Source organism: Homo sapiens, chromosome X (genome assembly GCF_000001405.40).
Source record: "Homo sapiens chromosome X, GRCh38.p14 Primary Assembly".
Taxonomy (NCBI): Eukaryota; Metazoa; Chordata; class Mammalia; order Primates; family Hominidae; genus Homo; species Homo sapiens.
This window is the reverse complement of record NC_000023.11, coordinates 23,046,071-23,070,891: the sequence shown is the minus strand read 5'-3', so window position 1 is coordinate 23,070,891 and position 24,821 is coordinate 23,046,071. Positions and strand designations below refer to the sequence as shown.

At 37.4% G+C, this 24,821-nt stretch overlaps 1 long non-coding RNA gene across 1 annotated transcript in view; it reads left to right on the top strand.

Annotated features, from left to right (window-relative positions):
• PTCHD1-AS (PTCHD1 and PHEX antisense RNA) overlaps positions 1-24,821 on the top strand; it is a 1,100,142-nt gene that overhangs the window by 222,255 nt on the left and 853,066 nt on the right. The window contains exon 3 of the long non-coding RNA NR_073010.2: positions 6,771-6,854. This is a non-coding gene — a long non-coding RNA (PTCHD1 and PHEX antisense RNA). The remainder of the gene's footprint in view (positions 1-6,770; positions 6,855-24,821) is intronic.

Below are 24,821 nucleotides of genomic sequence, written 5' to 3'. Positions count from 1 at the left end.
GAGCCACCGCACCTGGCCCCAAAAATCATTTATTATATTTTATTTTCACATTGAAAATCAGGCTCTTCAGCCTCAAAGAGTGTGTTTATATAAAATTAAATGAGCATTGACAGCGAGCTGCACTTTTTTTTCTAAATGGGAAAAGGTTAAGGATGCTGAATTTTGCTTAATTTTCATGTAATTATGTGATTTTGAGAGTTCTTCTTGGAATTGAGTTCTATTTTAATTGTGCTGTGGTCCAGTAGTATGGTTGATGTGATTTCAGTGTTTTGAAATTGTTGAGAATTGCTTTATGGCTGAGCATATGGTCAATCATAGAGTCTGTGCCATGTGCAGATGAGAAGAATGTATATTCTGTTGTTGTTGGGTGGAGTGTTCTGTAGATGTCTGTTAGGTCAGTTTGGTCAAATATTGAGTCTAGGTCCCGAATATCTTTGTTAGTTTTCTGCCTGGATAATCTGTCTAACACTGTCAGCGGGATATTGTAGTGTTCCACTATTATTGTGTTGTCATCTAAGTCTCTTTGTGGGTCTCTAAGAACTTGTTTTATGAATCTGGATGCTCCAGTGTTGGGTGCATATATCTTTAGGATAGTTAAGTCTTCTTGTTGAATTGAACCCTTTATCGTCATGTAATGCCTTTTTTTGTCATTTTTGATTGTTGTTGGTTTAAAGTGTGTTTTGTCTGAAATAAGAATAGCAACCCCTGATCTTTTTTGTTTTCCATTTCGTTGATAGATCTTTCTCCATCCCTTTACTTTGAGCCTATGGGTGTCATTGGATGTGACGTGGATCTCTTGAAGACAATTGTGATGGTTAATATTAGGTGTCAACTTGATTGGATTGAAGGATGCCTAGATGGCTTGTAAAGTATTGTTTCCGCATGTGTTTGTGACGGTATAGCTAGAGGAGACTGACATTTGATTCAGTGGACTAGGAGAGGAAAACCCACCCTCACTGTGGGTGGGCACCGTCCATTCAGCTGCCAGGGCAGCTTGAACAAAGCAGGTAGAAGAAGGTGGGATAAGTTTACTTACTGAGTCTTCTGGCTCTCTTTCCTCTTCCCATGCTGGATGCTTGATTCCATTCTTCCTCCTCCTGCCCTTGGACATCAGAATGTAAGTTCTTCAGCCTTTAGACTCTGGGAGTTGTACCAGCAGCTTCCCAGGTACTTTTGGGCTTTTGGGCATAGGCCGAAGGCTACACTGTTGGCTTCCCTGGTTTTTAGGCTTTCGAACCCGAATTAGCCACTGATGGCTTCTTTCTTTTCCCCTATCGCAGGACTTTGCCTTGTAATCATGTGAGCCAATTCTCCTTAATAAACTCCCTTTTATATATACATATATCCTATTGGTTCTGTCCCTCTGAAGAACTCTGACTAATAAAACCTATAGTTGAGTCTTGCTTTTTTATCCTACTTGCCACTCTGTATCTTTTAAGTGGGGGTGTTTGGCCCATTTACATTCAAGGTTAATATTGATATGTGAGTATTTGATCCTGTCATCATGTTGTTAGCTGTCTGTTATGTAGAGTTGATTGTATAGTTGCTTTATAATGTCAGTGAGCTATGTACTTAAGTGTGTTTTTATGGTGGCAGGTACCAGTCTTTCATTTCCATGTTTAGCACTATCTTAAGAACCTCTTGTAAGACAGGTCTGGTGGAAACAAATTCCCTTAGCATTTGCTTGTGTGAAAAGGATTTTTATTTCTCCTTCACTTATGAAGCTTAGTTTGGCTGGATATAAAATTCTTGGTTGGAATTTCTTGTCTTTAACCCTTTTCCCATATACCCCAGGAATACTTGCTGGCAGCTGCAGCATTTACTCTGAGATAAATTTACCACAAAATATCTCATTTTTATTATTATTTTTGCATTGCTCCAGTATATCAACTTAGAAACAAAAGACATTATTATATTTATAGCATTCTGTTTATAGTAGTGGTATTTCCATTTACAAAGTATAGTAATTCTTGATCACTGAGAATGTCACATTTTAGAAAATGTAGGAATCCTATGTATGATGTTAACATTGTTCTCAAATAGTTATTGGCCATAGATTAATTTGATGAATCTGATTTTCCTGAAATAGATGATTCTAAAGATTCAAACAATTCTGGTCTTAGTTCTATTTAGAAATAACTCCAAGAACAGTTTTTATATTTTATTTTCACATTGAAAATCAGTCAGATTTTCTTCAGCCTCAAAGAGTGTGTTTATATAAAATTAAATGAGCATTGGCAGTGAGCTGCACTTTTTTTTTTTTTTTTTTTTTTTTCTAAATGGTAAAAAGGTTAAGGATGCTGAATATAGGCCCCCAATCCCTTCTGGATTATAAGGTTTCTGCTGAAAGGTCAACTGTTAATGACATTCTCTTTTTATGTGACCTGTCCGTTCTCTCTGGCTGCTTTTAAGATTTTTTTCCTTCATGTTGACTTTTGAGAATCTGCTGACTATGTGTCTGGGGATGGTCATCTTGTACAGTATCTTGCAAGGGTTCTCAATTTTCTGAATTTGCATGTTGACTTCTCTAGCAAGGTTAGGAAAATTTTTGTGGACAATATCCTCAAATAAGTTTTCCAAATGTCTTTCTATCTCTCCATCTCTTTTAGGAATGCCAGTGACTTGTAGGTTTGATCTCTTTAAATAATACCATATTTCTTGGAAGTTTTGTTCATCTGTGTGGGCTGATGTTCCTTTAATCTTGGATGTTGCTGTCTTTTGGATGAGCCTTTTTGCTTTTGTATTCCTTGAGGTCCTTGAGGGTTTGATTGCAGTGTAAGTTGGGCTTAGTCAATTGGCTTCATTTCTGGATGGTTTCAGGAGGCCAAGACTCAACTCAGCACTGCTGGGCTACATGCTATAAACTCGGGAGGCTGGTACCAAACCCACAGCTTTATTCTCTGGCCTTTTGAGGTTAAGCACCTGATATGCTGGAGAGGTTAGAGTGTTCCAAGTCTGCTAGCAACAACACTCTGATGGGGCTTCTGGGAAAAGCACTCCGGTGGTGCAGTGGTGGGCTCCCGTGCACATCTGTGCTGGCAAGGTGGTGGCAGGTCTGCACACACGTGTGTGCTGGCAGGGCAGCGGGGGGAGGTTGCAGGTGATTGCACACTGGTTGGGGAAGGCTGTGGATTGGTGTCTGCTGGTGGATGTCCATTTGCAGAAGCACTCCAATGATTAGGTGGGGTATGCTGGTGAAAGAGCTATGGCAGTGGTTGTGCTGCAAGTGGCTTCAGCCAGGCAGGAATCCTGGGAGAGGCCAGAAGACAGGGGGTTTTCAGATCAGGCTGTTTCTTTCTCAAGGGCAAGACAGCCTTGCTCTGCCCAGGTCTGGCAGCTATTAATAACAAAGCCTAAAGTCACCTAGAGGAGTATGGCGAGTCTTGGGGGATGGATGCCCATGGTCATGCTCCACTGCAGCCAGTCTCATGCCAAACCCTCTGGGCTCCACACAGGCTGGAGTTCTGTCTCTGCCAACTTGCTAGGCAGTTCTCACTGCCAGCTCAAATGTGCCTGGGAATTGTGGGGTCTCCCATAGCTAGGATCATGGAGGTCCATGGTGAAAGTGGGTCACTCCACACCCATTTCACTCACCCTTTTCCTAGGAGCTTCTCAGGGCCAGGAACAAGTCCTGGTGCTTGGCAACCCCCTACAGGGTTCCCAGCCTCCTCACCTATCATCCAGGGTTTGCATTTGTTGTATGTCTTCTTTCTAAAATGCCTTCTTTCTAAAAATCTGTTCAGAATATCCTGGTCTACTTGATGGTCTGGTCTCTCTTGTTGGTCAAAGCTTTTCCTGGTTGCATCTAGTTGGCCATCTTGGCTCCAGTTGATTGCTTTTTTTTTTCTTAAAGCTAGATTAGGACTGGATCACGAACACTGGAGAAAATGCATAACAGCATTGAAGTTGAAAATGAATGAGGAGAAAGATAAACTGTTCTTATATTTTTACTACGCAAATAGAATCTGTTGGAAAACCGTAATTAGCTAAAAGTTAAATATAAATTGTTTTAGAATAGTGACTTAAAGGATAGTTTCTGCTCAAAGATGTTTGGGTTTACTTTTACTTTCCGTATTTACAACTTTCTAGCAAGGTAAATTTCTTCACTTTCATGTCTCGGTTTCATTATTTGTAAAATAGGTTACTATAGTAATAGTGTTCATTTTATAGGCTTGTTTTTAGGATTATATAAACTAATACATATAAAATGTGAATTAAAGAGCTTGATATTATTTTTTCATGTTTTGATTTGGAATTGATAATTATGTTTTTTCACTTCAATTCTCCTATTCATTTTTTCATGACTTAAATAGTCATGGACATATATTTTCACATTACTATGCAAACGAATTTTAAGTAAATCTTTGTATTTTCTTAGCATACTTCTCAGTTTCTGTCCGCTCTCTAAGCACACTATGAAGCCATATCCTCTTTATTTTTTTTTCTAGTTAGGAGATTGATGAAATGAGTAAGATAAATTTTTCCTATCATAGATTTTAAGAGGCATTATGCAAAGTGGAGGAGAAAATTCACATTGTTGATGTGCTATAGTGTTGGCATGTTGAAGCAACAGAACTTAATTAAGAATTCTAAAGTATAATTTTCAAATTGTCCTGGGAAAATGTCATTATTAGAAACTGTTCATCAAAGTCTTGACAAAGAAAGTCAGTCTTAGGAAAAAAGACTTACAATTTTCATCTATTATATAGCAAGGAGTTTCCATTATTTAAAACTTCCAGTATTTCATTAACGGTAATGCCAACTTTCAAGAAGAATTTCAAGTCATAATAATCTAAATATGGTACAAAGATTAATCAATGTTAGAAATTGTAGAAATTTTCAAAGATGCATCTAGGTTCTTTATTCATGTTTTAGTGGACAAAAGAATAAGATGAGTCATTTACTTCAACGCTAACATTTGGTTTAATCATGCTTTATGAAATAATTAGAAAGCAAACATATCCCTTTGCAACTGAATATATTAAAAACAATCATGTAAAGAAAGACAAGAATTGCATGCTGTAATTTGTGAACTATCATACCTCAGAAGTGAAAGAAATATCCTATATTATTTATCTTTAAAATTTTGAAATTTATCTTCATATTTTAAATTTAATTTAAAATTTTCATTAAATTTTGAATGCAGAAAAATATGTCCGCTTATTATTTCTGTACAAATTATACAGAAAACTACAATGATCATTTAGCTATATCTTTGAGTATTTATCTCTATTTCCCTAAATAACATGCTTTTATTTCTACTTCTTGATTTTCTGGGTATAAATATTATTGATTGACATTCCAGAAAGAAAAATGACAATTCCGTTCTCTTTTTTCCTCTATCCTCACATATTCAGACTTCCTCTTGTAAGTTAATGAAATCTTCAATCTTCAATATTTACATTAGTGTAACTGTGTAAACACTACAACTGAGCTGCATCATATATTGTGATTCTTTGTTTTTGTTGTTTTTTTGTTTTTTTGAGACGGAGTCTTGCTCTATCGCCCAGGCTGGAGTGCAGTGGCGCGATCTCGGCTCACTGCAAGCTCCGCCTCGCGGGTTCACGCCGTTCTCCTGCCTCAGCCTCCCGAGTAGCTGGGACTACAGGCGCCCGCCACCACGCCTGGCTAATTTTTTTTGTATGTTTAGTAGAGCTGGGGTTTCACCGTGTTAGCCAGGATGGTCTCGATCTCCTGACCTCGTGATCCACCCGCCTCAACCTCCCAAAGTGCTGGGATTACAGGCGTGAGCCACCACGCCCAGTGAGAATTTTTTAAATGAACAAAACTTCTAAGAAATATGATATTATTTAAAGAGCTCAAACCTGGGATTACAGGCGTGAGCCACCATGCCCGGCCGCTGTTTTTTGCAAAATATTTTTTTCTGATACTAATAATTGCCTTATGTTATAGTTACCCTATAACATAAAGTATAATTATCACTAACTCAACTTATCACTAACTCAACTTCTCTCCCTAATTAATTATCTAAATTCTCCCTAATGCATCAGGTATTTTATTTTTTTCTGAAGAAATCTCTCTGAATTGGACTGGTTATTTTCTCTGCATGGTGCATATGGGTCATTCTGGGATATCTTTGTCTCTGAGTTTTATGTTTTCTGTATTCGACTTCCTCCTCTATTCTGGTTTACACCCTTCATTTTGATATAACACATTTTTCAGTAACCAAATGAGAAAGAGATGCTAGGAGATAAAATTTTGAGTTTTTGCATATCTGAAAAAGTCTTCTAATTGGTAACTTGGCTAAGTGTAGAATTATAGGTTGGGTATTGTGTTCCTTCAAAAGTTTGGTGGTATTGCTCCATTGCCTACAGGCTTCTTACTTTGCTGTTAAAAAGTCAAAAATAGTCTCATTTCTGATCCTTTGTATATGACCTGTTTTTTCTCCCTCTCTGGAAGCTCACGGTATCTTCATTTTGTCTCCGTGCTCTTAAATTCTATGGTAAAGTTCCCTTGGTGAGGGCCTGATTTCATCTATTGTGCTGCATAGTTGGCAAGTCTTTCCAATCTGGAAATCCATCTGGAAAGTTTTGCTGAATTTTATTTTTTGATGATTTCTTCTCCTTCATTATCACCCTTCATGTTCTGGGACTCTATAACTGTTTATTTATGTTGGAACTGTTGGCTTCCTTCTCACTTTTCTTATCCTCTAATTTTTCATTTCTTTGTCTTTTTGCTTTACATTATTTTTTTCTCAATTTTGTCTTCCAATATTTAATCTAGTTTTTCATTTCTTTTTCATCCCCTAGAGATGAACCATCCAATCTCCTGCCTCGAGTATTGAAGCCTGGCTACTGTGACTGTGGGGAAGGGATTAATGGTCTCAGCATTCAGTAAGTGAATGTTCCCTCAACTCTCCTATTTCCTATATGTTACGTATACCTGCCACTGTGCCCAGTGCTCTTTTTACAGCCTTACAAGTTCTATCTCCATGCTTTTCTACCCTGCTGTCCTGCTCTGTGCTTTAGGAGTCTGACCTCTATTGACATTGTCAATTTAGGGTTCAGTTTGACCAGTGGAAGGGAAGTGGCTGTATTCCTGTATCCAAGGGCACAGGGTGTCTTTTTCCTATAACCACAGATCTTCCTGGGTTCTAGATAATGGATCTCTCCATTATTTTTCTGCCCTACTACTAGTAGCCATCTACTGCTCTTGATAGCCCCAGATCCTTCACCAATCTCATGGCTGTTAGTTTCCCTTTGTTGAAGTAAACAAAACGAAAGTATTTAAAGTGATGTGTTAAGTGAAAGTGTAGAGATATTCTGCTTTAAAATGATGAGACAAGAGCTTGAAAAATTTGTTAACAGATATTTGGGGAATGTTTGTTTACAAAGAATAATTTATTTCTTTATATAGAATTCATCACAAAAAGTAATTTTTGTTAAGTGCACTTAAAATATACTTTTTCTCATAAGATTTACTTCATCCACAAGTTTTATACAGCATATCAACTGCTTAAGGTAGGGAGGAAACTGAGAAAAAAAGAGGATTAGTGAGAAGGGGAAAATGAGAGGGAAAACTTTCAATCTGAGTGTGAGGGCCTGCAGATTTTCAATACTGCCATGGCGTAATGTATGCTGTCTAGGAGCTGTAGTTCTTCTATCATTTAGTTTAAAATTTCTACTCTTGAATGCTCAGCCAAAATAAGTAATGTTAGTGGCATGGAGAATGGATTGATGAGGAAGCAGTTTTATAACTCTAGGGCATGGCTAAAATCTAAAATGGCAAGCGTTGGAAAACACAACTTCTTTTACTTTTAAGGTGCTTCAATTTGTCATTACTGATTAAGGGCTCTCTGGATTGGCTCTCCTGGTCAGTTAAATTATTCCAAGAGCTATCTCATTACTGGGAAATGGTCACGTGAGATGAGAATCCCTTTTATTCCCATGTTGAGCCATAGAAAAAGGACTTTTTGAAGAAAAAATGTAGCTTAAATATAACTTACCTCATCTGCCAAGGATGTTATCATTTCTTAATCATCACATAAGCCACATTTTGCATAGTGGTTAAATTCGGACTAACTAAAAGCTTCAGTGTTTCAAGGCTGCTTATTAAAGCTGTTATTCTCTCAAGTAAAAGGTGTTAAGTGGAAAATTTTCATAACCACTGACATAGGGGAAGTGCAGTGGCAGATTACCTTAAAAAATTTCACTGATAGTGAATTTTTAAAAATCACCATGTCTATGATAACTTTGTTACTCAATGTGTGGTTTGCAGATCAGCAGCTTGGGTATCACCTGGGAAATTGTTGGAAATGTTAAAAGGTCAGAAATAGTCTCATTTCCGATCCTTTGTACATGACCTGGATCCACTGAATCATACCCACTGAATCAGAATCTGCATTTCCGCAAGACTCTCAGGGGTACATGTCAACATTTGTGATGCATGACTGAAGCGCAGTAGGGTAGTCATTGAAGCCCTGACCTCTTACCTAACCCAGGAGAATCATGTTTTCCAATGGTAGCAGTGCCTTAAAAAGTATCTGCAATAGCACAGAATTTTCATTTGCATATAATCCAAGGGTTACTTGGGCTAATTTTAGACTTAAATATCAAGGAAGATTACCAAGAAGGGATTATATGATATCAAGATAGGTGATGTTATTATTTGAAAGTATGTAATTAAAATTCTTATAGGAACAACTTTCCAAATGAGAAATTTTCCTCCCTCTCTGGTCTTCCTTCTCAGAAACACATCTATATTCTATATGTAATGCTGGATTTTTCTCTAAATAAAACTTAAGCTCTCTCCTTCTCCAGAAGGCACAGGTCATTCAAGAGCTGAGAGGTTCAAATAAACTGCTGCTTCTTTCACGTATCTCTAATGTGAAGTGTTTGGAATAATTAGCCTAATTTATATTGCACTTACAAACAACTGATAACACCTTTTAAACATGCTATAGAAAAGTAAACTGGAGATTTTTGGAAAGAATGGTTTTTCTTTATTTTGTTTCTCCTTTCTTTGAAATCCCTGCATACCTAAAATATGCTAGAGCAATGTAGCTATTTAAGTGGTAATTTCCCCTATAGTGTGGATCTCCTTCTACTCCCTCCTTTATTTTTCTTTCTTTCTTTCTTTCTTTTTTTGAGACAGAGTTTCATTCTTGTTGCCCAGGCTGGAGTGCAATGGCACGATCTCGGCTCACTGCAACCTCTGACTCCGGGGTTCAAGCGATTCTCCTGCCTCTGCCTCCTGAGTAGCTGGGATTACAGGCATGTGCCACCATGCTCGGCTAATTTTTTGTATTTTTAATAGAGACCGGGTTTCTTCATGTTGGTCAGGCTGGTCTTGAAATCCTGGCCTCAGGTGATCCACCCGCCTCGGCCTCCCAAAGTGCTGGGATTACAGGCATGAGCCACCGCACCCGGCTCTCCCTCCTTTATTTTAATAAACATGTATTGGCTATCTACTGTGTGCCATGAATGAGAATACAAAGACTAAATCTCTACCCTACAGTTGCTCACCATCTCTTGTAGAAGGTCAAAGACACCATTATAATGCCATATTATAAATGCTATCACAGAGTTGGCAACATATGATGGTAAATAGGAGAAGAAGGGGCTAATTCAGTCTTGGGAATCAATGACTGATTCATAAAAGAGGTGACTGCTTTTGGCACTTGTTAGCATGTGATTTATGATACAGATATACACAAATGTTGGCTTGTGCTTTCAGAGAAGGTGGTTGAATGAATCTTTAAGTAGACCCAAGCTGATATTGGCAGGTTCGATCAGACTGAGCTCTGTCCAAAATGTAACTTGATGGACAGGATTAGAATAAAATAACCTCTGCTAATACGATAAAACAAAAGTGAATGGTCTTTTGAATGCATCTGAATGATTAGCTTTATAATATTCACCCATCACCCTGAACAGTAGTAATATTTGCTGCAGTGGAGACAGGGGGTATTAGTAGGATAATCATAATGATAACAGCTGATACGTGCCTTTTACATAGTGCTTTCATACTCATTACCTTATTTAATTTTCACAGCCACCCCGTAAGGTAGGTGTTATTTGCATTTCCTAGTTGAAAAAATGGTCAAAGTAGGCGGCAGAGCCTAAAAAAGAAATCAGGTCTTTAAAACTCTAAGATTAATATTCTTTCTACTCGAACCAGAACCAGAACTTTCAAAAGTCTCCCTTCATTCCAGAGATTATAAAGAACCTTCTCCCGTGACCTGAGGGTGCTTCATTGGCGAGGGTTGCTGAATGTCTAGGGGTGAAAAGTGGGCCTTTTCTCTAAAACAGAAACTGTTATTTCCCTTGCCAAGCCAGTCCTTCTCTGTTTGTTCCATGGTGATCAGAACAATATGGTGATTTAAAGTTGGTGATAAAGGCAGAGTGGAATTGAAAATTCCTCCAGGGTTTTTAATTTAACCGTGGGTAGATGGTGGGGCCATTAAGGAAGACAAATAATACACCTAGGGTTGGATTTTGGGAACTAGGCTAGCTTTAAGGGCAGGCCTGGTGTTGAGAAGCTAGAGTGATGAGCAGACCAAGCCTCAATGCTGTGGCTTAGGGGAAACTGGGCCAGTTTAGATAGTGTCTATCATCAATAAAAGGTTGGGCAAACCAGAGAGTAACTCTCCTGGAGCTAAAAGTCTTGCATTATGATTGATATTGTCCATCTCAGTTGGAGGAAGACGTGACCACTGCCTGTAATATAAATGCAGTTGGGGGGATTGGTAAGGGTTAGGGAAGATGACAGCTTTGCAGCTAAAATTCTAGTCAATGTTAGGGGACTGAAAGGCAAATCATAAAACAAAGGCAGAGGCCCAGTCAAGTGGCCTGAGCTAACATGGCAAGGGCAGGGGCAGCACTTCAATTCAATGACATGTAGGAATCCTATTTTTAGGCAGGAGCTAAGAATGCACAGTTTGTGTTCAAAATGGAGAATTCCTTCAAGATATGCCAGGCTTATGATAAAAAGACTTATTTTTAATGTTTTTAATTTTAGGTAAGAGTCTTTGAAAACTGCTGGCATTATTTAGGACTGGCTTGAGCAGTAGCAATTCTCAGATCTACAGGTTTGAGCAAAGCTGGGAAAAGTGTAATTTATTCTGAGATTAATGGATTATCACACACATTAATTTATAATTTTATTTATAATTAAATAATTTATTATTTATGTCATATTGACTCACTAGAATTATGATCCATTGGCAAAGATCAAATTCATCAGATTTAATATAAAATTCTATGATGGCATTTGTGGTAGACAGAATAATGTCCCCCAAAAGATGCCCATGTTCTACTCTCTGGCGCTTGTCAATATGTTACCTTACGTGACGAAACAGACTTTGCAAATGTGACTAACGTTATCTCGAGATGGGGAGATTATACTGTATTATCCAAGTCGGCCCAATTTAAGGACCCAATCACATGGGTCCTCAAAATTGGAGAACATTTCCCGGTTGTAGTCAGAAAGAAAGATGGAAGCAGGAGAATGATTCAACACCCAGTTGCTAGTTCTGAGACACTGGGAGTATCTGAGATACTGGGAGTGTTTAGAGAATGAATTCTGCCAAGAACCATAATGAGTGAGGAAAGAAATCTTCCGCTAGATCCTCCAAAAAGGAATGCAGCCCTGCTAATGCCTTCATTTTCGCCTGGTGAGACTGATGTTGGACTTCTTGCCTACAGAACAGTAAGATAACAGAATTGTGTTGTTTTAAGCCACCATGTTTGTGGGAATTTGTTATGGCAGCAATATGAAACCCGTATAATTATGCTATATGAGTTGGAGATTTGTAAATTGTAAGCTCCTCACAGGCAGGGATTTCTGTTTTGTTCAGTAACATATATCAAGTGATTATAACAGTGCCTAGGACAAGTGATTACAACAGTGCCTAGGACATAGTTGATGCCCAATAAGTGTTAGTTGAATTAATTTATTTATTGGTCATTCCATCAACAAATATTTATTGAGTGCCTATGCATACGTGCTTGGTGTGCTAGATGTTGATGGGGATGTAAAGATATAAAAAACATTTTTTCATGAAATCTGAGTCAAGAAGCTTAGATCAGTCTTGAGCAAGAATAGGAGTCAGAAAATTATGGCTTGCAGGCCAAATCTTACCCACTGCTTATTTTTATAAATAAAGTTTTGTTGAAACACAATCATGCTCATTAGTTTACATGTTGTCTTTGGCCACTTTCATGCTATAGTGGCAGAGTAGAGTACTTGTGTAGTTGAGACAGAGACCAAGTGACCCACAAAGCCAATATTGTTTACTCTCTGGTCCTTTATAGAAAACAATAACAACAAACCTGTCAACTCCTGAGTTAGAACCCCATCTTCATGGGTTGCTAGCTGTGTACTTTAGGAAAAGTGTATAACCTCTTTAGGCTTCTCTTTTCTATAAAATTGAGGTGGTGGTACTTTTCTCATAGGGTGGTTGTGAGAATTAAATGTTGAGTGAGAATTAAATGATGGCTTCCAGTCCTTAGTATAGAGGAATAATTCAGTAAATGGTAGTTAAGATTTTTTTAAAGACAATTTTGAGAGCAGTTTTAGGTTCACAACAAAATGGAAGGGAAGATACAGAGATATCCCGTAAACTTTGTACCCTATAAATGCATAGTCTCCCCGGTTATAAACATCCACTACCAGAGTGGTACACTGGTTACAACTGATGAACTTCACTGAGACATCATTATTACTGAGAGTCCATAGTTTACATGGGCGTTGTGCATTCTATGCATTTGAACAAATGTATGAATGGCATGTATCCACCGTTATACTATCATATAGGGTATTTTCACTGCCCTAGAATTCCTCTGTACTCTACCTATTCATACCTCCCCTTCCCCTAACACCTGGAAACCCACTGATCTTTTTACTGCCTCCATAATTTTGCCTTTTCTAGAATGTGATATAGTTGGAATAATATAGTCTGTAGCCTTTCAATATTGGCTTCTTTCGCTTAGTAATATGAACTTAAGTTTCCTCAGTGTCTTTCCATAGCTTGATAGCTCATTTCTTTTTAGCATATGAATAATATTCCATTGTCTTAATGTATCACAGTTTATTCATTCACATACTAAAGGATGTCTTGGCAGCTTCCAAGTTTTGGCAATTAATAAAGCCGCTCTAAACGTCTGTGTACAAATTTCTGTATAGATATAGGTTTTCAATTCCTTTGGGTAAATAACAAGGAGGTGATTGCTGGATTGTATAGTAAAGTATGTTTAGTTTTGGAAGAAATCACCAAACTGTCTTCCAAAGTGGCTGTGCCATGTTACATTTCTACCAGCAAAGAATGAGAATTCCTGTGCTCCACATCATTGCGAGCATTTACTATTTTCACTGTTCTGGGTTATGGCCGTCGTAATAGATGTATAGTGGTATCACATTGTTGTTTTAATTTGCCTTTCCCTAATGACACGTGATGTGGAGCATATTTTCAGTATCATACTGGAAGTCTTAGCTAGCAAAAAGATAAGAAAAGGAAATAAGAGATACACAGTTTGAAAAGAAAGAAATAAAACTGTTCTTATTTGTAGATGACATATTTGTCAATGTTGAAAATCTGAAAGAATTGACAAAATCCTCCTGGAACTAATAAGCTATTATAGCAAGGTTGCAGGATATAAAGTTAATATCCAAAAATTAATTGCTCTCCTATATACCAACAATGGACATGTAAGATTTGAAATTTAAAAACACAGTGTTATTTGCTGTAGCACCCCCCAAAATGAAATACTTAGGTATAAATCTAATGAAACATGGACAAAATCTGTATGAGGAAAGCTACAAAACTGATTAAAGAAAGCATCTTTTCATATGCATATTGACTTCTCACCTCTAGCTATGAAAGTTCTAGATAACATCTTCTTCTGCTATAAGGCTGTTTCATCTAAATTGAAAATCTGTTGTTTAATGTAGCCACTTTCATCAGTGATTTTAGCTAGATCCTCCTGATAACTTGCCGCAGCTTTTATACCAGAACTTGCTGCTTTACCTTGTACTTTTGTATTATAGAGATGGCTTCTTTTTTCATTTCTTTTTTTTCTCTTCTCTTCTCTTCTTTTCTTTTTTTGAGACAGAGTCTCGCTCTGTCACCCAGGCTGGAGTGCAGTGGTGCGATCTTGGCTCACTGCAACCTCTGCCTCCTGGGTTCAAGCGCTGCTACTGCCTCAGCCTCCTGAGTAGCTGGGAGCACAGGCGCATGCCACCACATCCGGCTAATTTTTGTATTTTTAGTAGAGACGGGGTTTCGCCATGTTGGCCAGGCTGGTCTCGAACTCCTGACCTCAGGTGATCCACCCATCTCGGCCTCCCAAAGTACTGGGATTACAGGTGTGAGCCACTGCGCCTGGCCTCTTTTCTTAAACCTCATGAACCAACCTCTGCTAGCTTCACACTTTTCTTCTCAGCTTCCTCACTTCTCTCAGCCTTCATAGAATTGAAGAGAGTTGGGCCCTTCTCATGGACTAGGCCTTTGCTTAAGGGAATGTTATGGCTAGTTTGATCTTCTATCCAGACCACTCAAACTTTCTCCATATCAGCAAAAAGGCTGTTTTGCTTTCTTATCATTCACATGTTCATTGGAGTAGCACTTTTAATGTCATTCAAGAACTTTTCCTTTGCGTTCACAACTTGGCCAATGTTTGGCACAAGAGTCCTATCTTTTGGCTTCTCTTGGCTTTTGACATGCCTTCCTCACTAAGTGTAATCATTTCTAGCTTTGAATTTAAAGCGAGAGACATATGACTCTTCCTTTCACTTGAACACTTAAGAGGCCATTGTAGGGTTATTAGTTGTCCTAATTTCAATATTTTTGTTTCTTAGGGAATAGGGAGGTCCAAGGAAAGAGAAAGAGATGGGTGAATGGCCGTTGGTGAAGCAGTCAGAACATACACAACATTTATCTATTGTTTGCCATCTTATATGGGCATGGTTCATGGCACCCCAAAACAATTACAGTAGTAACATAAAAGGTCGCTGATGACAGATCATCATAGCAGATATAATAATAATGACAAATCTTGAAATACTATGAGAATTACCAAAACGTGACTCAAAGACAGAAAGTGAGCACATGCTGTTGAAAAAATGGCCCTGATGGACTTACTTAATACAGGGTTACCACAGACCTTCAATTTATAAAAAGATGCAATTTTTTTTACAAATGGAATGCAATTTGTAATAAAATGGAATGCAATAAAATGAGCTATGCCTTTATATAAGCCCAGACACACATACCCCACACACTATATATATATATATATACACACACATATATATGAATACATACACATACAAGTATGTATAATGAAATACATTATTGCTAGTATGATTTTGATCTGTTAGATGTTAGATCAATTAAGAATAAAAAAAGTAACAGTTTTTATTTTACTGGCATTCATTCTTTTTTCAATGCCCTTTCTTTAGGTAGATATGAGTTTCTGACCTGTATTGCTTTCCTTCTCTCTGAATAACTTAATATTTCTTGCAAAGCAGGTCTATAGGTAACAAATTACTTCAGTTTTTGTTTGTTTAAGAAAAACTTGATTTCTGCCTTTTTTTCGAAGGATAATTTTGTAGACTATAGAATTTTAGGTTGGTGGGCCTTTTTTCTCTCAATACTAAGTATTTCATTCTACTGTCTTCTTGTTTGCATGGTTTCTGAAGAGAAGTCAGATGTATTTCTTATCTTTGTTTCTCTTTATGTAAATTATTTTTCCTCTCTGGCTTCTCTTAGGATTTTTTTTTTTTTTTTTTTTTTTTTTTTTTTTTTTTTTGAGACGGAGTCTCGCTCTGTAGCCCTGTAGCCCAGGCTGGAGTGCAGTGGCACCATCTCAGCTCACTGCAGGCTCCACCTCCCGGGTTGTCACCATTCTCCTGCCTCAGCCTCCCCAGTAGCTGGGACTACAGGTACCTGCCACCACGCCCCGCTAATTTTTGTATTTTTAGTAGAGACGGGGTTTCACCGTGTTAGTCAGGATGGTCTCGATGTGCTGACCTTGTGATCCGCCTGCCTCGGCCTCCCAAAGTGCTGGGATTACAAGCGTGAGCCACCGCACCCAGCCAGGAATTTTTTTAAAAAAAGTCTTTGACTTCCTGTAGTTTGAAAATGATATGCCTAGGTGTAGTTTTTTTTTTTTTTTTTTTTTTTTTTTTACATTTATTCTGCTTGGGGTTTTCTGAACTTCATGTATGTGTGGTTAGGTTCTGATATTAATTTGGAAAAATTCTCAGTCATTATTTTTTCAAATACTTTTTTCTGTTCCTTTCTTTGTCTTCTTTTTCTAGTATTCCCAATATATGTATGTTACACCTTTTATAGTTGTCCCACAGTTCTTGAATATTGTGTTCTGATTTTTTAATTCAGTCTTATCTTTTTCTTAAATTCTTTTTATTTTTTTATTTTGTTTTTATGTTTAGTCTTTGTTATCTTTGCTTTTCACTTTTAAAAATTTCTATTGGTATATTCTCAAGCTTGGCGATTCTTTGCACAGCTGTTTTCAGTCTACTAATAAGCCCATCAAAAGCATTCTTCATTTCTGTTACAGTGTTGCTGATTTTAGCATTTCTTTTTGGTTCTTTCTTAGGATTTGTATTTCTCTATGCTTACACTGCCCATCTGTTTTTGCATGCTGTCTACTTTAACCAATAGAGCCTCTAGCATATTTGATTTTATGATTAATGTTTTAAATTCCTTGTTTGATAATTCCTATATCCCTACTATATCTGGTTCTGATGTTTGCTCTGTTTCTTCAAACTGTGTTTTTGTTTTGTTTTGTTATGTTTTTTGCCTTTTAGTATGCCTTTTTTTTTTTATTGATAGCCAGATATTGAGAAATAGGTAAAAGGAACTGCTGTAAATAGGACTTTAGTAATGTGGTGGTAAAGTGTGTGTTGAGGAAGCATTCTATAATCCTTTGATTATATCTCAGTCTTTTAATGAGCCTATGCCTCTGGACTGTGAACTTCACAAATGTTTCTCAGTTTTGTTTTCTCCTCTTAGCCTGGGCAGGTTGGCTAGAGTGGACCGGAGTTGAGTATTTCCCTTCTCCCAGGTCAGTTAGGTACTGATAAAACCCCTGCTTCCCTTTACTGGGTCCCCTTGGAGGTTTTGTTTTGTTTGTTTTGTTTTGAGATGGAGTCTTGCTCTGTCACCCAGGCTGGAGGGCAATGGCACGGTCTTGGCTCACTGCAACCTCCGCCTCCTGGGTTCAGGTGATTCTCCTGCCTCAGCCTCCCGAGTAGCTGAGACTACAGGCGCGTGCCACCACACCCGGCTAATTTTTGTATTTTTATTAGAGATGATGTTTCACCATGTTGGCCATGCCAGTCTCGAACTCCTGACCTTGTGATCCTCCTGTCTCAGCTTCCCAAAGCGCTGGGATTACAGGCGTCAGCCATCATGCCCTGCCCACCTTGGAGCTTTTAACTCCAAGGTGTCCATGCCCTGCCTACGGCAATTTGTCAATTTCAGTCCAGATTTTCCTGCATCAGCTTTGGTTCCCAAAGAGGTTTCTGCTCTGCTATGTTGTGATTCTCTGTATCCACCTATCTGTCTCTTCAATTTTGGGGGCAGCAGTTTGCCTTGTGACCACACTTCTCTTATGGATCTAAGAAGAATTATTGATTTTTCAGTTTGTTCAGCTTTCTATCGTTAGGACAAAGTGATGACTTCCAAATTCCTTACATGCAGAATTGGAAACTGGAAATCCCCATAAAAATGTTATGATTTAAAAAAATGGATTCTACTGTTATCCTCCTGCTGCTATCACCACTGCTACCATCATTAAGTTGAATAAGAAAGACATGACCATGAAGGGTGTTTTGGAAAATTATATATATGTATATGTATCATATTTTCTAGAAAATTATATATAAATATTTAATATATATATTTATTTATTAAAACTCAGATCCACTTTGCTTCCTTGGAATTATTATGGTCCAGCACCTACTGTTTAGCTGACAACATTGCAGCTGGTTTTATCTATATCTATTATGCCATTCCGATGAAGAGTAGTAAAGATCTTTACCTTCTCAGTCTGGGCTAATTTTTGATTTGTCATTATGCTTTAAGAAGATTTTTAAATGTTTTAATTTATATAATTTTGTACAATATTTTCATCATATTTACTGCTAATCCCTGAAGTCCCCACGTATTGGTTAATGGCTAGACTTCTGTGTGTATGGTACATTGTGTCTTCAAAGATGGCAGTAACTATGTTTCCCATCCCACATACTCTTTTGCAATGTGATCTTGTCACTCCTTTATGAAAAGGTGGAGTCTGCCTTTTTTCCCTGTTGAATCTGGCCCATTCCTCTGACTTGTTTGGAATGGAATGCATCTCAAGTGATACTGCGTAACATCAAAGGATGAGCCTTAAGAGATCTGTAGCTTACTCATTCACCTTTTTCAATGGTCATTCTTCGAACCCATCTACCCTATTGTGAAGAAACCCAAGTAGCTATGTGGAGAGTCCCACCTGCAGGAGAACTAAAGCCTCCAGTTGAGCTCAGTAACCATCCGGTAGCCAGCCATGTGAGTAGAGCCATTCTGAACTTTTTAGATATCCCTGTATCTTAGCCAACACCATGTGAGGCAGAAGAAACACCTGGTTAATAAACAGAATCATGAAAGATAATAAATTGATTTTAGAAGCCACTAAATTTTTGGATGCATGTTACACAGTAATAGGTAACTGGAATACTACGTTTATGTGACGACTTTTTTTTCTTCAAGATCTCTAACTGTTCATGGGAGTCTATGACATAGAGTTTTTAAAAGTCAGATGAGGACTAGCAATACAGGTGTTAAGCCATCATTTAGAGTCATTTTCGAAAATTTCAAGTTTTTTTCTGAAGAGAAGTGAAGGCTGAAGAGGGTTGAGGAGCAATAAGGATGTTTCCAATCAGAAATCTGTTACTGGAGGGGGCATCATCTGGAAAATACTCTGAATAAAAGTAAAATTTCCTTATCTTAATGTTAAGTCGCCACGATTTAGCAGTGTATTACTTTTTCATCTTGGCGTCTTTACTACTCACCTTTTGCTTTCTTTTCACAATTCCATCACTCGTGTGGTTTCTCCTGTTTGGAAGAACTTTCTACTTTTGAATTACTTGATGAATACCTACTTATTTTATGAAGGCCAGCTCAAATACCACCTCTCCCAGAAAGACATTCCTGATACTCTTAGCCAAAAATTCTGTATATCCCTGGGTATGAGATGTTATCCAAGTTTATGCATGCAGAGAATAAAAATATTGGCTGACTCGCATGTATTTCGAAGATATTCGAATATATTTGAATATATTTCGAATGTACTTTTGAAGATAATTCTCAATGATGGCTTCACATCTGTATTGCTAGTACTCAATACATTTGACCAATGTATATTCCTACTATATTAGTCTACTGACAATATCAAATGTATCAATAGAGTTACACATGCATATTTAAAATCACATTTATAAAACCTCAGTGATTTTAGAAATAGTGCTTTGTTCTGTTTTCACTTTTTTTGAACAATGTTCTTCAAACTTGGCACCTGTACCTTCAGTATCATTGTCTTTATGATCATTAGAGGTCACTCCTTTTGGTCCTCCAACATGGTTTTACATAAGATACCATCTTTGCTTTCACTTATGTTGTTTGATATATACCACTTCCTATAATGTTGCTACTAGAAGCTTTAACCCAAGCTGCAAAAATCCGTACCTGTGTGATTAGAAGAGTGTTTTGTTTCTTATTTTCCATTCTTTAGGCATATATTAGTGATTTCCACAAATTAACCATGTATCCTCATTTGCACATGTAAAGCCACATGCCCCAGGATTATTTACTGAGTTTAGGCCAAATGTGTTTTCCTCTTTAAAAAACTGATTATTATTTTTTGCTTGGTGACTTGTAATATAGAAAAAAAAAACCCTGATTATTTTAGCTGAAATTGGTTGATACTGATTTAAAACAGGTGCTTTCAACCCTGGCCGTAGCCTAGAATTACCTGAAGGGCATTAAAAACTACAAGCAGGGCACACTGAGGTCCTCTCTCCCGTATTCTAATTTAATTGATCTGGGACGGAGCCTTGGAATGTTAGTTTGTGAAATCTCCCCAGATGATTCTAATGTGCAACAAGAGTTTAGAACCACTGATCTAAAACCAATATTAGTAGAGCAGTGGTTTTCAAAATGAGGTCCTCAGACCAGCAGCATAAGCATTACTTGGCTATTTGTTAGAACTATGCCTGTTTCAGCCCCACCCTAGACCTCAGAAAGTTTTAGGATGGTGCTCAGCTATCTGTGTTTTAACAAACCCTCCAGTTGATTCTGATGTACACTGAAGTAAGAGACCCACTGGTTTAGGCTAATATATTTTTCTGGAATAGTAGTTTGTTGTTCAAAGTATATTTACTGATAGAACATGTATTCTGGAAAAATGTATACGGAATGCAATATAAGGGAGAGGTCATTTGTAGAAAAATGACTTGCCTTGTATTCAAGCATATATAGTAACCTCTCCTCTGAATTCCTATATATAATGCTTTAACTGTACATCTTTTAGATATTGACCACATTTCACATTGCAATGTAGTTAATTGCTTAAGCTTTTTCTCTAAAGCTAGGCTAAGTATTCTGAGAAGGATCCAGGATCAAGCAAGAGTATTAAGAATAGGGATCATGAACAGATGCGCAAACTAGAAGGTGACAGATTAAGTGGCATTGATCAGAGGATACCTCAAAACAGTTATTCTCTCAGCTTTCCTCTGGTCTGAAGTCTAGCTTTTATTTTATGCTTCCTCTAGCCTCCTATTTTGCCCTAATTTCTAGAAACATAATGGAGAAAGAGATGGCAGTGTTCTAATTATTTCACGGTTGGTTCCAAGCAATGGGAAGTGGGTTGGCCAAATAATTCCTCTACAAGGCATGGCTAGCTCTGTGCATTTTCAAAGGGCAAGCGAGTAGAGGAGGCACCCATTAACTCTGGGGCCATATGGATAGATGCATATAAAATACAAGAATTTTGGCCTTATTGGCTGTACAACACAGTGCCTATAGTTAACAATAAGGTATTGTGTACCTAAAATTTGTTAGCAGGGTAAATTTCATAGTAAGTGTTCTTACTTCCCCCAAGCACAAAACCACAAAGGCACACAAGAAAACTTTTGGAGGTGACGAATATATTTATAACCTGGATTGTGAAGGTAACATGAGTTTATACATATGTACAAAATCACCAAATTGTATATGTTAATTTTGTGCAGTTTCTGTATAACAATTATAACTAGAAAATTATTCCTTAACAATTATAACTGGTAAAAATAGATTTTAAGAGGGTGCCGTTGACCATGATATCTTAGGGCTCAAACAGAGGCAAGTGAGACTCCTAAAGCATAAATCTTCTTTTCAGTGGTAATTTTAGGAGTTAGCCACACAAGTGGCTGATAAATATACAATGTCCAGTTGTACAGATAAATACACAATGTTCTAATGTTACCTCAAGGCCTGAATTTAGGAATTGAAAGTCTTTGGTTTTTCACAGTGGTGAAGAAACCAGTAGTAACTTTAAAATACCCTTGAGTTTCCCTCTGCTCATTTATCTCCCAAATCTATAGTTCATGTTTTCTTTCTGTGATATCCACTTCCTTGTAATAATTGGCTTCTGAGATTAATAAATTCTTGAAAGCATAGGAAAAAATGAAAATTTGTCTCTTTGAGAGCAGGGACAAGTTTTTTTAAGAGAGAAGAATGAAAAGATGCAGTTATTGTTTTTAAAGCCAGAGGCAGATTGTGCTGGCAATAAAGGAGAATTTGTGAGATGCTTTGTGGAATTGAAAGTTCTGCTTTGCTTTCTCTGCCACACTTAGAGAGCCTATTCATCTGTCCTTTCAACACCACCAGTATTTTTGTAAACATGAAAAACACAACCAAATAACCTCAAGCTCTTAATTGCTGTGGAAACAAGCTGTAGGAAAAATACAAGACTGATGACGTATACCCTGAGCATTCATTGCTCTGTAACAATATTAGAAGAGAACAAACACCTTGAGATGGTTCTAGTTTTGAACATCTTTCCTTGGGGAATGCATTCAGGAATAATCTCTTGAGTTTGCAGAAGATGTGCATTGAATTTCTTTAAAAGGATGGGAATCTAGAAAGTAGTTCCCTGCCAGGTATCACCAAGCAGAAAAGCTCAACACCATTCTTTTCTGCTTCTAGGTGCTTTCCAGTGCCCCAAAGACAGAGATGTTAAATGCTGCATTGCCCACATTCCCTTGGAGCTGGTGTTCTTCATGTCTGCCAAGGGGATATATTAACACTGGATATTGGGAAGGCAGAAGCAAGCACCATATAGCATGGCCCAGCAGCTCTTTCGAAAGGCAAGGTGGTGGATGCATTTGGTTCTTCTGAGGCACATGTGGAGAAGTAGTGTCCACTCCTAGCTTTATGGGTGTCAAGTAGAGGGCACCTGTAAAAATAGCAACTAGGGATTTCGTGGAACACTCCTATACAGTGATTGGAACTTCTCATGGCTGTATGGCTGCTGGCTATGTATCATCTAAGCTCATCCCAAACTTCTTAAGACCTCTGGTCTGTAAAGGTATGTGACCTTTGGCTAGCTACCATTTCTCTCCGAGTCCACATTATGAAACTATACCTTTCCTGTTCATATCTATATACATTCATGTTTCTATTAAATTGATCAGTTAAAATAAATAGGTATCTTAATTTATTTGAGTTGCCCTACTTGGCCATCGAAACAAAACTAACAGTACCATCTCACACATGGACACACACACACACACATACACAACTACCAGCTATGTCACGTTCCTTGGTTCTCTCTTGAGGCTAGCAAAAATCGTGTTTGGAACCTCCATCTCACAAGCAATTACAAGTAGGGTTCACCCCAGTTCCTTCATCATCTCATCACTGGGTTTCAGAAGGGGCCAGTGTCACCTAAGGAATTCATGTTTAGCATGCAGGCTGTTAAAAAGGGACCTATGAAGACATGGTAAGACTAGTGGAGAACCAAGGGACTTGATGGAGTCAGGGTGTGTGTGTATCTTTATGTATGTGCACACATGTGTGTAGGAGGCAACTGAGTTTGTTTTATTTTGATGGAAAATTGGCATCTCAAATAAATTAAGATTCCAACTTGTTTTAACTGATTCATTGTGTATGAATTGTGCAAAAATGTGAGTGGGGAAGGTGTAGTTTTATAATGTCAAAATAGGAGAATAAACTTTTCTTTAAATAAAGATCACTATTTATTCCAAAAATGTTGACAAAAAAGAAAAGAAAGGTTTTATTTCATTACCAATGGTTTTAAAACAGAGTTGAAATATAAGTGAGAAGAGATGGGGATGTACAACATGTTGCTGGAGGGGCAGCCACATACAAAAACTGTTGTGGCTGCAAAGGGAAAACTCCCATCAGTATGGATTTTTACAGGGTATTCTCAAAAGAAAGCTAGATTACAGAAGAAACAATCGTTAGAATTACCCAATTATTACGTTAGATTTATCTTTTATTTTGAGGAAAATGGGACTGAAAACAGAGAGAGTAGAATAAAAATAATCAAGAGGGAAGTAAATGCTGAGATACGTAAGGAATAAGGCATGCCTACCTGTTTTAAAAGATTCCATCTTCAGAACTATATGAATTACCTACAAGGGTAAGGAAAAGGTGTTTGCATATGGTAAACATGTATAAAACATTCTTGAGAATTTGGGGAAAATGTGTCTAACAGTCTCTAGTCACAGAATGCATATGCTACTAATGACTATAACATGAAATCTTGTTTGTTGAAATTACAAAATAGGTTGTTAACAAATTGTGATTGAATGCTTAGAAAAGAAAATGGTGATTACTAGGAGATAGCTTAGGTTCACCGAGGATACCTTATGCAAAACTAATCTTGTTTCACTTTTTATTTTGAGTTTTAGATGGAAAGATAAAATTCCATAGGCATAATGTGTTTTGATTTAACCAATGTCACAGGACTATTTTATGGAATCTATAGAGGGATAAATGGAGAAATGTAGACTGGATAATATTCAGTTAAATAGATTGGTAGTTTGTCAAACAATCTCAGCTTCTCCCCCTAACCCATGAATAGTCTTTCCTTCAAAACAAATAAAATGTAGAATATCTCAGCCATTGGTCTTGTCCTACTCAACATTTTAATGATATGTATAATGACATAGAAGGCTTACTTATCAAATTTGCAGATGACATAAAGCTTGGAGCAATGACTAATACATCGAGTAGCTGAATCTTAATTCAAAACAATCTTGACAGGCTGGAATGCTGGCCAAAGCTAACAAGATGAAATTTAATAGTTATAAATGTTAAATCCTGTATTTAGGTTCAGAAAAAAAAATCAAATGTACAAATGCTAGATGAGAGGAAATTTTGCCTAGAAGCCATTTCTATGAAAAGACGTCAGTTTTTTTCTGACTATACGTTCAATATGAACTGCCAACTTCTATTGATAGAAGGCCATTCATTGAGATAATATTTATTACATTCCTACTGTGTGCCAACACATTAATTATCTTATTTAACTCTTAAAAAATCTCTCTCCAAGATAGTTCTATTTATCTCTACTTTATAGATAAGAAAACCAATTAAGTTGTTCACCTGTATGCTGTTATTAAATGGTAAGGCTTCAATTCAAACTAGATTATCTGTTTTCCTGGTTCAGCATTCCAGTAGAGCTTTGCTACTCAAAATAATGCCTGTAGACCAGCATCTTACTAGAAATAGTTGAATCTTGGGCTTCTCTCCAAACCAACTGAATCAGAATTTTCATTTTAAGAAAGGTTTG